The sequence below is a fragment of the Homo sapiens genome, chromosome 9, assembly GCF_000001405.40.
Source record: "Homo sapiens chromosome 9, GRCh38.p14 Primary Assembly".
NCBI lineage: Eukaryota > Metazoa > Chordata > Mammalia > Primates > Hominidae > Homo > Homo sapiens.
Genome location: NC_000009.12, coordinates 134699756 through 134712372, shown reverse-complemented (window position 1 = coordinate 134712372; position 12617 = coordinate 134699756). Strand labels below are relative to the sequence as shown.

Genomic DNA, 12617 nt, shown 5'->3' with positions numbered 1-12617 from the left:
AAGAAGGAAGGAGGGGACAGGAAGAAGAGGGGCAGGAGGGAGGGGGACAGGAAGGAGGGGGGACAGGAAGAAGGGGGAAGGAGGGGAACAGGAAGAAGAGAGTCAGGAAGGAGGGGGGAGGAAGGAAGAAGGGGGATAAGAAGAAGGGGGCAGGAAGGAGGGGGGAAAGGAAGAAGGGGGCAGGAAGGAGGGGGGAAAGGAAGAAGATGGGCAGGAAGGAGGAGGACAGGAAAGAGGGGGAACAGGAAGGAGGGGGAAGGAAGGAAGGGGGATAGGAAGAAGGAAGGCAGGAAGGAGGGGTACAGGAAGGAGGGAGGAAGGAAGAAGGGGGCAGGAAGAAGGGGGGAAGGAAGGAGGGGGACAGGAAGGAGGGGGAAGGAGTGGGGACAGGAAGGGGGCCAGGGTAAAGGGGGTTCACTTCCTGTCAGGCACTCACAGACAGGCCCAGGAGTCCAGGGTGTGAGACTCAGGCCCAGCGCCATCCACTTGCGGGGAGGGCCAGGCAGTGGCTCTATGGGGCTGGAGAACGAGACGCTGAAAGGGGACACAGGAGATGTGACTGAAGAGCGGGGATTTGGATCAGGAGATGCAAGAAGGGGTCATGAGAATAAGGAGACAGGACCCAGGCAGAAGCCTCCTATCCGGGACCCCAAGCCGTGCCCCTCTTCACCTAAGTATGGGAACTCTTAACCCAGAAAGATCCAGGCCTGGGCTGAAGTCCTGCCCTGACTGTTCCCAGCTGTGTGACTGTGGGCAGGTGGCTTTACCTCTCTGGCTTTACCTCCATCTCGGAGCCTTGGGTTTTCTGAACAAGCGGTGGCCACTGCACCAGCCCCCAGTGCCCCATCCAGCCTAGTGCTTGGGCACCATGGGGTGCAGTGGTAGAACAGAGCAGCCCTTCCCAACTGCTGGATCTTCAAACAGACTGGAGGGTGCTGGCAGAAAAGTGATTCTGAGACAGATTTTCCATGTGCTCTGGGATCAAGACTCACTCATTAGCACACCTGGCTGGCAAGACACAGCCCCACACCCCAGGCGCACGGTCTATACGACAGCACCCAGGCCCTGCAAGTGGGGTGTCACCGGCCTGACCACCTGGACCGTCTGCTTGGGTCTGGGGAAGAGCCAGGCAGCCTCCCTTAGACGGGGGAGAAACAGAGCCAACCTGGCCTCCGAGCTGACTCTGCAGGCCCACAGGGGCTTCTTCCAGGCACCAAACCACCGACCGAACAATTCATGCCCAGAGGCGGAGGCCAGCTGTGGAAGACAGAGACCAGCTGTGGGAGCTCCCTTCCCGGCTTCCCATGTGGCTGCCCCCCCAAGTGGTCCCCTCCCCCACCACTGCACCCAACAAACGGGCCTCTCCACCACTGCACCCAACAAACGGGGCCCCTCCCCCACCACTGCACCCAACAGACGGGGCCCCTCCCCCACCACTGCACCCAACAGACGGGGCCCCTCCCCCACCACTGCACCCAACAAATAGGGCTCCTCCCCCACCACTGCACTAAATGGGGCCCCTCCCCCACCACTGCACCCAACAGATGGGGTCCCCTCCCCCACCACTGCACCCAACAGACGGGGCCCCTCCCCCACCACTGCACCCCACAGATGGGGCCCCTCCCCCACCACTGCACCCAACAAATAGGGCTCCTCCCCCACCACTGCACTAAATGGGGCCCCTTCCCCACCACTGCACCCAACAGACGGGGGCTCCTCCCCCACCACTGCACCCAACAAATGGGGCCCCTCCCCCACCACTGCACCCAACAAATGGGCCCCCCCACCACTGCACCCAACAAATGGGGCCCCCCCACCACTGCACCCAACAAATGGGGCCCCTGCCCCACCACTGCACCCAACAAATGGGGCTCCTCCCCCACCACTGCACTAAACGGGGCCCCTCCCCCACCACTGCACCCAACAGACGGGGCGTCTCGATGGGGAGCAGGCTTAGGTCCTGGCTCCCCTACCTGCCCACTGAGCTTGTAGACCCTTCACACCCCTTTCAATGAGACAGGGTTAACGGCACTGACGGCGATGCTATGAAAATACTGCACAATCACTATGACTACCATCATCATCATCACAACAGCCACCGTCTCGCGCGGGCAGGAGAGCCTGCCAGCACACAGCGGCGCACCTGCCACCACGCTGAGTGAGCACGGGGCGGGCCGCACCGGCTTTGCCTCCTTTCATCCGCACCACAAGCCTAACATCCCCACTTTCCAGCTGAGGAAACTGAGGTTCAGGCTGGCTCAAAGCCATGGGAAGGATGGGCGGAGGGCTGGGGCTTGACTGCGGCTCCCTCAGATGCCCCCTTGGCCACGGTGCTAAAGAAGGACATCACGTTCGTGGGCCCCCTCGCCCGTCAGCCGTGTGAGGGCAGCTCCTCCGCTCAGGTGGGCGGCTCCCCCAGCCACTGGACCCTCCCACAGGGGACGCCCTGCCCCTTTGCTCCCCCTCCACCGCAGCCCTGCCTGCCCTGGGCACTCCCCTCCAGAGACCCTCCAGCATCATGCGTCCCTTCCCAGAGACCCTCAGTGCCATCTTCTGGGAACTGTGGATCAGAACATCCGCCGTCAGCCCAGCAAGATATCTTTGGATAAGGCCGGCTCCCAAGATGACATCATTCCTGTCTGGGCTGGGAGATGGGTCTGTGGCTCACATTTTCCATGGAACAAACCTGAAGCCCAAACCTCGGGCCAGGCAGCAGGAGGGGCCAGGCCCCACAGCACATGGGAAGAGGCAGGCCCTGCCCAACCCTGTGGGGTCTCTGGACCCCTCCTTGCTGGGTGCCACACAGATCACCAGCAGGGTCACTGGCACCTACCAGGCGGGTCACCAGCCACCTGCAGCAGGAAGGAGTCCAGGCCTCACTCGCTCACCACTCAGGCCTCCCTAGACCAGAACTGCAAATGAGAATGCACCCCGATACCAAACTGCACCCCAATGCCACACTGCACACTGGCTCCAGCCAGCCAGGCAGCTGCCTACTGCACCAGGGAGATGCCCACGGGGCTTGGCCAACCGCCTGCTAGCCAGGAGTAGCCCCCCCACCCCTCCTCAGCCAGGCACAGCTCAGCAGCCCACCCCGAAGCCTCAGCTAGAGGCCCCAAATATGCATGCCCAGAGGCTCACTTTTAAGCACACGTGCTCTGTGGCAATTTAAGAGACGAAAAACCCCTTTTCCACGCTGGTGTAGGGAAGTGGCTGAATCATGGCCCCGAGGGATGGGTCCAGGTCGGAACTCCCAGAATCTAGATCCACAGGTGACCTTGTCCAGAAATAAGATCACTGCAGATGGAATGAAGGATCTGGAAATGGGAACATCCTAGATTAGGATGGGCCCTAAATCCAACGACAAATGTCCTTGTGGGTCACACAGAGAGACACAGGGGGAAGAGAGAGGCTGTGTAAAGACGGAGGCAGAAGCTGGGGCGACGTGGCCACAAGCCAAGGAGTGTCTGGGGCCACCCGGGGCTGGAAGCGGCAGGCAGAGTCCCCCGCTGGAAGCTTCAGAGGGAGCACGGCCCCGCCCACACCTCGATCTTGGAATTCTGGCCCAGAGCTGGGAGAGGATAAATCTCTGCTGTTTGCCACCGGGCTGTGACAGTTGGTTGCAGCAGTCCCAGGAGATCATGCAGAGTGCAATGTCCTTGTCCCTTCCAGGGGCAAGAGGAGGTCTCAGCAAAGCAGGCAGAGCTGAAGACACGACAAGGGGCCTCTGCCCTTCACCTGCTGGTGTTCCGCTGCCAGGGGCTGCCTCAGCACTGCCAGGGTGGGGTCTGGGCTGCCACACAGGTGGCCTGAGACAGCGGAGGTGGATCCTACAGAAAGCACCAGTGGATGCTAAGGAGACAGCAGGGCTGGGTAGATGCGGGTCTTGGACCGAGGACCTAGAAGGGTGACAGTGTCCTGTGTCAGTGCAGGTGCACCAGAGCCCCCACCCCGGGAGTTGCTCTGAGCCGCAATGGCAGGCGCACTGGCCAGGCAGCAGCAGGGACTTGGGCCAGGACTCGGGAGGGGCAGGCACACACTGCCTCCGAGAAGCCCTGGCAGAGGGACACCTGGCCTATCCATGCTGCCTGGCCAGTGATGGAGGCACAGAGACGACATAGCAGGGTGCCTGGGGCTGCCCGAGGCGGTGGAGTGCCCTGCCCTGCCCAGGTGCACACATCACATCCATCTCATGTCCGAAGTCAGAGTTGGCCCAGCCAGCCCCCCAAATGTGCCCCTCTGGGCAGCTTCCAAGGCGGGGAAAGCCCTCCCTCCCCGGACACCTCCCCAGTCCTCTCACAGGGGAACGCAGCTCATCCAGCAGAGGCTGAGCAGCAGGGCCCAGGGAAGGTCTGGCGAGGTGGGTTTTCCCAGCTCCGCAGCCCTCCCCCGACCAGGAGGAAAGGTCCTCAGCAGAATCCCCTCACGTCCCGGAGCCGCCAGCCGCACACAGCTCAGCACCCAGTCTCGCCCGCCTGTGTGCCGGGAAGTCTGCTCATCTTCACGGTTGCGCTTCCCTCCCCTGGGGCTTCCCCGGCTGCCCAGTGATGGGCTGCGGGCTCCAGAGCTGCCCTAGACCCAAGCCTGAGTCCTACCTGCTGTGTCCCACAGGCAGCCCAGGCAGCCGTCAGCAAGCCAGTGAGCAACAAGGTAGTTCTGGAAGGATCCAGAGGCTCCAAAGGCCCCAGCCTGGGAAGTTACAGCAAACGTGGACCTGGGCCTCTAACAAAGCCCTTGCTCTCCCCTTCGAGGCCCTAACACTGAAGGGCCTGACGCCCTGGGGGACGTTCCCACTCACAGGAATCCCAGGGCTCCTCTGTTCCCACTCACAGGAATCCCAGGGTGCCTCCGTGGATGGCTGAGAAAGGCCCACTCAGCACAGGCCCCACTCCTGCCCCGGGGAGAGTGAAATTCCAGAAAGAACATGTCAGTGGAAAAGCCAGGCCCCTGGAAAAAGGGAATCAGGGATTAGGTAAACCGCTCGGTGTTTTTCAAAGGCTGAAATGAAGGCAGACAGATGGAGGACCGTTAGAGCTTGGAGCCGACGCCATCACTTTCCCGCCAGCACCCAGGGGTTTTGCAGGGAGAGCTGGAGTTTATAGTCTGTTTGGTCTTGTTGCCCCTTGAAACCTTCAACAGCTTAAAAGCACATTTGGCTCCTGGCCCAGAACTCGCTGGCCGGCTGTCCCCCGGGGCAGTTCTCATCCCCTCCACGGCCCCCCTCCTGGTCATAGCTCACCCACAGAGGAGGGGCCTTCCACGGCAGGCCTCAAGGCAGAGGCACCCCAGGCCCCCTCTTAGTCCCGCCTCCCAGCCTCCCTGACGTGGCTCACTGGGCCAGCTCAGGGCCCATAGATGAGGTGAGACTCTAGAGAGGTGCATGGAGCCCTCCGGATCAGCAGCCAGGTAGCCCCGTGCTGCCCGCCACAGGCTGGGGAAGGTGCTGGGACAGGGGCTAGGCGGGTCCAGGTCACCTGTCACACACGGGAGGGACACTCTTGGGCCCTCTGCCCTTGCTAACAGCTTATGCTGGCTCTTCCTGGAAGGTTCCAGAGTTTCACAGACCCCATGGGCCAGGGGACTCCAGGGTCCTCAGGGCCTGTGCGGGGAGGGCTAGGAGAACAGAATGCCAGGCGGGGGCCCACAGTGCTGTCAGGCCAGCCTGAGTCCAGTCTCCTGCCACTGGTCCCCGGGATCCCTTCCAGGCTGGGGACAGTTGTGTCATGATTTCCGAGGTCCCAATCTGCTGTCATGTTGCTGAGTGACCTTAGGCAAGTGACTCAACCTCCCTGGTGCTGGCTTCCCAAGCTATGAAGTGGCAGCAAGACTCTCTTCTTCCAGGGCACAGTGGGGGTGGGCCCTGGCTGCTCTCCCATCCGCCTTCTCCTTGCCTGTGAAGATAACTCACACATCCCCACCTTCTGCAGGATGCCCCATGCTCACCCTGGCCACTGAGGCCATGTTTCTGAAAACACAAAGCTCGTTCCTGACTATGCCCTGGATAAAAAGACCTTCCTGCACTGGGGGGAGCCCAGCCCCTCTGCCTTCCCCTTCCTGCACGGTGGTCCTGGGCCTGCCCAGCACCTCTGGAAACCTGGGGCTTAGGGAGCAATGCCCTGAGTCCTCCTCTGACACCAGTGCTGGCCCCAGGGCACCGGCACATCCAGAAGGGACAAGACTTGGGATGAGAACTTCCCAGGACAATGTCCCAGGCAGCTCCGGCATACTCGCCCTGGGAACAGGCAGCATGAGAGGGCTTGGCCATCCCACCCCATCCTAGGAGACACAGCCCATGCCAGGGGGATCTCCTGCCAGCTCCACAGGGGCACTCTGCCAGGGGAGGAGGACAGGGGCCTGCGAACCCAAACCTTGCTGAGGGGCTGCTGTGATGGCAGGTGCAGGTACGGGCAGGAGGCGCCCCGGAGCACTCGCCCTAGCTGGGGCTGGCGGGACCCTCAGCCAGTTCTTTCCCCATGGACCTCTCAGCGGCTCCATCCTCCTGAAGGCCCAGGGGTCTCATCTTTATGGCAGGACTCACAGCATCTAATTCATAAGGGGAGTCCAGAAAAGCTGAGAAAAGGGACAGCTCATGACAGTGCCACTGTGGACGATGGGCCACCTCTGGCCCATTGTCACTGGCAGATGACCACTGACAATGGGCCAGAGAGCAGCTCTCACCGCCAAAGACCCAGGACAAGGTGGTTCCCTGCGGCCCTTGGAGGTACTCACATCTAACACAGATTTGATCTCACCAACCCAAAATCCGACAGCGTTGGCCCTATCGCCCCATTTTACAGATGAGGACACGGGGCTCCAAGTCACCAGCAGGGAAGGAAGTCCAAGGCTGGGGGGACCTGCCGGCAGAATGCCCTCCATGCCCATCACTTCCTCCGTACGTGGCTCTGTGAGGGACAGCAGTGTCCCACCTCCCCTGCATGGCAAGGCTGCCCCACTAGAACCAGACTCAGGGGCTGGGAGGCAGTGAGGGCCTGGTCTGCAGGCGCAGGGGGCTGCTGACACGGCCAAAGCCACACACTCAGGCTCCGCGTCTATACCCAGGGAGGCTGCGGGCACAGCACCAGCCGTTAGCCCTGGCCTTGCACTGCAGGAGACACATGTGTCTTGGCCCTGAGAGTCTCTATCTCCCTCTGTCCCTCAAGGGCGCATCACTTTGGACAAAGGGGGCCTCTGTGGGGCCACAGACACCCCAGGAAAAACCCCCAGTCCCTGTTTAAACGAACTCTCTTAGAGTTTGGTGAATCCTTGTTCAGTATAACTCTAAACACAGAACAGATTGGCTTTGAATGAGCGGAAGTTGTCCTTCCAGGGGAAGATTGGGGCTGCTGGAGGAATATGTCTCAACAGTGCCAGCCCCTCATTTTTAGAGCCTTCTAGAGCAGCCAAGCGACTGAGATGGGAGGTGTCGTTATGCAGAGCCCGCTGGAAAGCAGAGATAAATCACTTTTACTTCAAAAGAAATAGAAATTCTCTTCCACTTGCAATGAGACAAAAGGTGGCTGGGACTCTGAGGCCAACTCACCGAACTTCCTCCTCACACTGTTAAGGGAAAAAAAAAAAAGAAAAGATGCTTGGGGCAGCTGAAGGCATCGCTGATCCTGCTGGACTTCATTAAGAAAGACAGGTCCAATTTTCCAACGTGAGCACAGCTAACAGCCAGGAAACTCTGGGGCTAGGAAAACACCTCCTCCAGACCATTAACAACTTGTGGTCAATAAAAACCTCTCGTTCCTGGCAGCCACTCTGGCTCAAATCGAATTCCACGACAGGAAAAAATGGCTCACCAGGAACACAGAATTCGGAACCTATCTGTGACTTACCGTTCGACCAGAAGCCTGCCAGGCGCCAGCTGCAGAGTGAGACCTGCACGGTTCCCTGGAAGAACAAGCCAGGGTAGGAAAACAGCCTCCTCCATTCAAGAGCCATTTCCTTTTGAAAACCACACGTTACCTTCATCCTTTGCTGATAAAGGAGGTAAACTCTGGCATGTTTGCTGTCGGCCACTCATAGGCATTTTTCATGGATTAATTCTCACGGTGCCTCCCACACACACAAAACTGCGGCGGGTACTATTATTGTCATTTTACAGATGGGGAAACTGAGTCTCGGAGCGGTCAGACAACTCACCGAAGATCTCACCCCTGGGAAACAGTGGAGCCAGGATGCAAACCCAGCCCTGAACACGGATTTCTAGTGCTTCCCTGGGGTAAGGGACTCTTCACATACATCTGCTTTTGGGAAAACAGCTTTTCCTGCTCAGTTAGAATATCAATGAAGCACTATTTGTTTTAGGATCCTAATTTTTTAAAGATAAAATAAAGCTTTTTCCTGAATCTTTACAACAGAACACACTAGAAATTACAAAGATTTGACACAGCACAAAAAAGAGACTGCATGACAAACATTAAAACCCTGAGGCCGGGCGCGGTGGCTCACGCCTGCAATCCCAGCACTGTGGGAGGCCGAGGCGGGCGGATCACAAGGTCAGGAGATCGAGACCATCCTGGCTAACACAGTGAAACCCCATCTCTACTAAAAATACAAAAAAAATTAGCTGGGTGTGGTGGCGGGCGCCTGTAGTCCCAGCTACTCGAGAGGCTGAGGCAGGAGAATGGCGTGAACCCGGGAGGCAGAGCTTGCAGTGAGCCGAGATCGTGCCACTGCACTCCAGCCTGGGCGACGGAGCGAGACTCCGTCTCAAAAAAAAAAAAAAAAAAAAAAAAAAAACCCGAGGCCACCGCGTGGCCTCCCATCCAGAGGCAGGGCCTCGACCCACAGAACAACAGGCAGCGGTGGGGGTGACTCTGGCAGGTGCCCAGGCCAAGCCCAGAACCTCCCCTGCAGCTGTGCAGGTAGCCTTACTGTGACCAATGTTTTACAAATGAGTCTCAAAGCTCATCAATGTCACCTGCTTTGCCTAGATCCTCCCACCAGCAAGAGGCAAAACCAGCACTTGATCCCAGTCTGTGTGACTCCAAGGCAGCTTTTAACCCCAGCTCCCCAGAATAGCCCAGAAGCTGCCTCCTGCCTGGCTGAGGACGGCTCCTGTGCCCGCAGTTCCTTCCAGGCGCCTAGGCAGGTCTGTTCAGAAGTGTGCCCGGAGGGTGTGTCTCAATAGCTTGCAAAATCTGGCTGTGCCAGCAGGATCCAAGCACCCGCCCTGCTCTACCGAAGCCCCAGGCTACAGCTTCCTGGAAACTGACCCAGAGCCAACTGCACGTTCAGCAGAATCTCCACCACCTTCACACCTACTCCCTGCCTTCTTCTAACAGGCCCATCTCATTCCACAGAGCGTGGCTGCTCTGATCATTCCTCTGCGGTCTGCACTGGGCCGCGGGGCTGTGTCCTGCCTTTCTGTCTGCCTTGACACTGTATTAATATCCAGAACAACTGAATTTGACATTAAGCCGGGGCTTCCTATAAGGGAGACAGTGCGCTGCTGTGTCACTGCATTCAACCTCATGGAACCTTTGCCACAGCTCATGAAGCAGCCACATCTGTGATCCCATTTTACAGACGGAGACCCTAAGACAGAGAAATAGCAGAGCAGCTTGCCCGAGGCCCAAATCCAACAATCGACAGAGCCCAGGTGGGCTTGCCCTGAGGCCAGCACTCTGCTGAATGTCCAGTTCACAGTGACACTACGTGGTCCCCAGTATGATTTCCTAGAAAGGTGAGACTTTCAGAATTGCCCTCTTCTCACACGCTCAAAGCCCCAGGGTCAGTTCAACCGTGCCCGTCCCCACGAGCAGACATCGATATCTTTAACACAGAAATGAACTAGTACGTGTGATGTCTCCTTCGCGTGCCCTTGGCAGAACACCAAGATTGAGTCAACACGGTGTCTGGTTTGGTGACCCCGAGTCACCGAGAAGAAACATGGCCCTGGGGACCCCACCTCAGCCATGAAACGGGGGCAGCCGGATGCAGAACCGATGTGTAGACACAGCCAGGAGCTCACGGCAGCGCTCGGGGATTTAGGGAGGAGACACTGCCCTAACTTGTCCCATCTCTGCAGCCCTGGAGGAGGAAATCCCAGAGCCAGGATGGCCCTCGGAGGCCATTTAAGCCAGTGGCTTTCGAACAGGTTTTAGCCACAGAGACCCGGGTGCAAAACCAAATCTTCTGCAAAACCCAACTTACATAAACGACAAGGAAGCCCAGTGGAGGGGTCCTGGCTGCCGCCTAACCCAAGCCGCGGAGGCAACGGTCACTGCAGTGCCCTTGGGAAGGGCAGAGTCCAGGACCCTGTGCAGGCTGTCGCCCCAGCACCCCAGGAGGCAGGGCCCTGGAACCCCTACAGGCTCCTGGTGACTCCAACGCCCCCACCCGGGGCAGCTGGGGATCACTGGTCACCTGCAGAAGCTCTCAACCTGTTTCTTGGCAGTGGGACGGGGCATTCTCCTGCTCTCTCACGCAGAACCCCAACCTATGAAGGGCTCCATGGGCTGAAGTGAGGGTCCCAGAGCCCACTCAGCTCAGGCCCCGACTCCCAAGCCTCTGAGGCATTCCCCGGGAAAGCAAGGCCCCTGGCTGGACACAGCTAGACTGGAGTGAGGCCAGCCCGAGTTGGGTCGGCACAGGTCTCCCTGGTGCGTCCACACGGTGGCCCAGCTCTGCCCTTCAAGCTCACCCAGAGGACAGCTGCCCCTGTCCCAGGATGGCCTCGGATACAGACGGCAGGAGTGTGCAGGTTTCCAGGAGCCTCAGCACGAGGCTGGACAAAGGCCCTGTCCTTTCCGAGCCAGCACCCAGGAGACTCACGTACTGGGCCCTTGGGACAAGGGCGGCCACTGCCATCCCCACGCGGCCTACAGGCGGCAGCAGCTCTGGCCCCTCCATTTCCGAAAGCCACAAACATCTCTTAGGATGGCAGCAGAGGCTTCTGACCAACAGAGACGGTGACCACAGTGGACCGCCAGCCGGTCCCGGCCCGAGGAGCCTCCTCCAACAGCAGTCACAGTGGCTCCACAGGAGGAGTGCCCTGGTGGGCACAGGGGTTGGTCTGCCCTCCTGCTCACCTCAAACACCTCCTCATCCAGGATCCGGGTGCCAAACACGATGATGCCATTGATGTCGATCATGGGGTGGTCGCTGCGGTCGAGGAATTTGGTGGTCTTCTTTTTACAGTCGAGGATCAAGGTGACATTTTTCTTGTGGACGCTGAGAGCAATTCTGTGCCACCTGCAAAGAAACAGATGGTGAAGACAGGGCTTGGATCACAGATGCCAGCTCAAGCAATTTTGCTGCAAATTCCTCGAGACACAGGAAGAAGGCCCACTTCCTGCACGATCGTGGTGGGGCGGAGCAGATCAAGGCCCAGCCTCTGGAATCAGACAAGTTAGGGCAACACCCCGTGCCATGAGATCTACTCATTCCCCAGAACCCTCGTCCCTCAGACAAGGATGGCTGTCTGAACCCTGGAAGCCCAGCCGGGAGCCCAAGTGAAAGGGGGAAGGGGGAGCACACAGCACTCGGCACTGGCTCGGGACCCAGGAGTGTGGTCCCTGGGAGCGTGGTCCCTGCGGTGCGGTCACAGCCATCGGGAGAATGGCAGGGCGGCGGCCGTTGTATTTTGCTGTGTGCATGCGAGCACTTGTCACGTGCCCTCTGAACCCCGATGGCAAACTGCAGGCAGCCAGAGAAGACCGGGTGTGGACGGGAAATGGTGGAAGGAGTGGATCTGTCTGAAAGTCTTGGCGAAGAATTCAGAAATCATGTATTGAAGACGTTCGGAGATTATCAGGGCATGACCTCACACGTGCTGACCACGAAAGAGGAGACTGACAACCCCTGGTGTTGAGGTCTGCACCCAACAGAGCGTGCTGGCACGACCCGCTTTTTCTCATGCTCACTCCCACTCCTAACACACCTGTGTCCTTGAAGGATACCTGAAATCCTTTCTGGAAAAGGTTGGGTATAACCTCACAATTTCCTGTGTCCCTTCTGACACAAACAGGCGGGAATTTGATGTGCTTTAGTGCACTTTACAAAGGGATAATGGAGGGCCAGGGAGGAGAAGTGACTCCCCAGAGCCACAGAGGATGAATCAAGACCATAACCCAGGTTTCAGGACTCCAAGCCCAGCACCCTCTCCTCTGCTGCGGCGTCTGTGGGAGTCTCAGTACCGGCTGCTGCACGTCCTCTACTGTGCCCCACATCTGGTCAGTGGTATGAGCTGGCCTGATCCCCCCTCCAGCAGGGGGACAGTTGCCCAGAAGTGCCCACTTACTTGCCATCTGACAGGTTGATGCCCCGGAAGAGGGGGTAGTCTTCCGGGCCAGGCTTCCCCGTGTGGTCCTCGTAGAGGAAGACGGGAGAGCGGCCCAGCTCCAGCCCAATCTGCTGGATACCCTGCTCGTTGTAGATGGAGACCAGGAAGGCCTGGCTGCCTTTCTTGGCTTTCACAGTTGTTAGGATGGAGAAGTCCTCGGGAAATGCAGACGCTGGAACAGAGCACAGAGGTGAGAAGGCAGTCGGGGAGCCCCTGCAACCACACCCAGCCATGGCTCTCTGCAAACAAGCCAGCCCGGGACCCTGGGAAGCTGTGCTGCCCGTCGTGGGGCACTGCCATCTGCTGCACATCTGCCCCTTGATCA

General features: G+C 59.0%; 1 protein-coding gene across 3 annotated transcripts in view, besides 1 other annotated feature; it reads right to left on the bottom strand.

Annotated features, from left to right (window-relative positions):
• Positions 1–12617, bottom strand: part of COL5A1 (collagen type V alpha 1 chain) — a 203041-nt gene that overhangs the window by 132471 nt on the left and 57953 nt on the right. For all 3 annotated transcript variants that reach the window (NM_000093.5, XM_017014266.3, NM_001278074.1), the window contains exons 3-4: positions 12251–12464; positions 11040–11202 (exon numbers count right to left, since the gene is read on the bottom strand). In NM_000093.5, the coding sequence (NP_000084.3) occupies positions 11040–11202; positions 12251–12464 (377 nt within the window). The remainder of the gene's footprint in view (positions 1–11039; positions 11203–12250; positions 12465–12617) is intronic.
• Positions 3505–4072: an enhancer, noted in NCBI's record as "H3K4me1 hESC enhancer chr9:137600147-137600714 (GRCh37/hg19 assembly coordinates)". NCBI's record gives its function as "activates a minimal SCP1, AML or CMV promoter by ChIP-STARR-seq in primed H9 embryonic stem cells {active_cell/tissue: H9 hESC(primed)}" and the evidence as "EXISTENCE:reporter gene assay evidence [ECO:0000049][PMID:30033119]".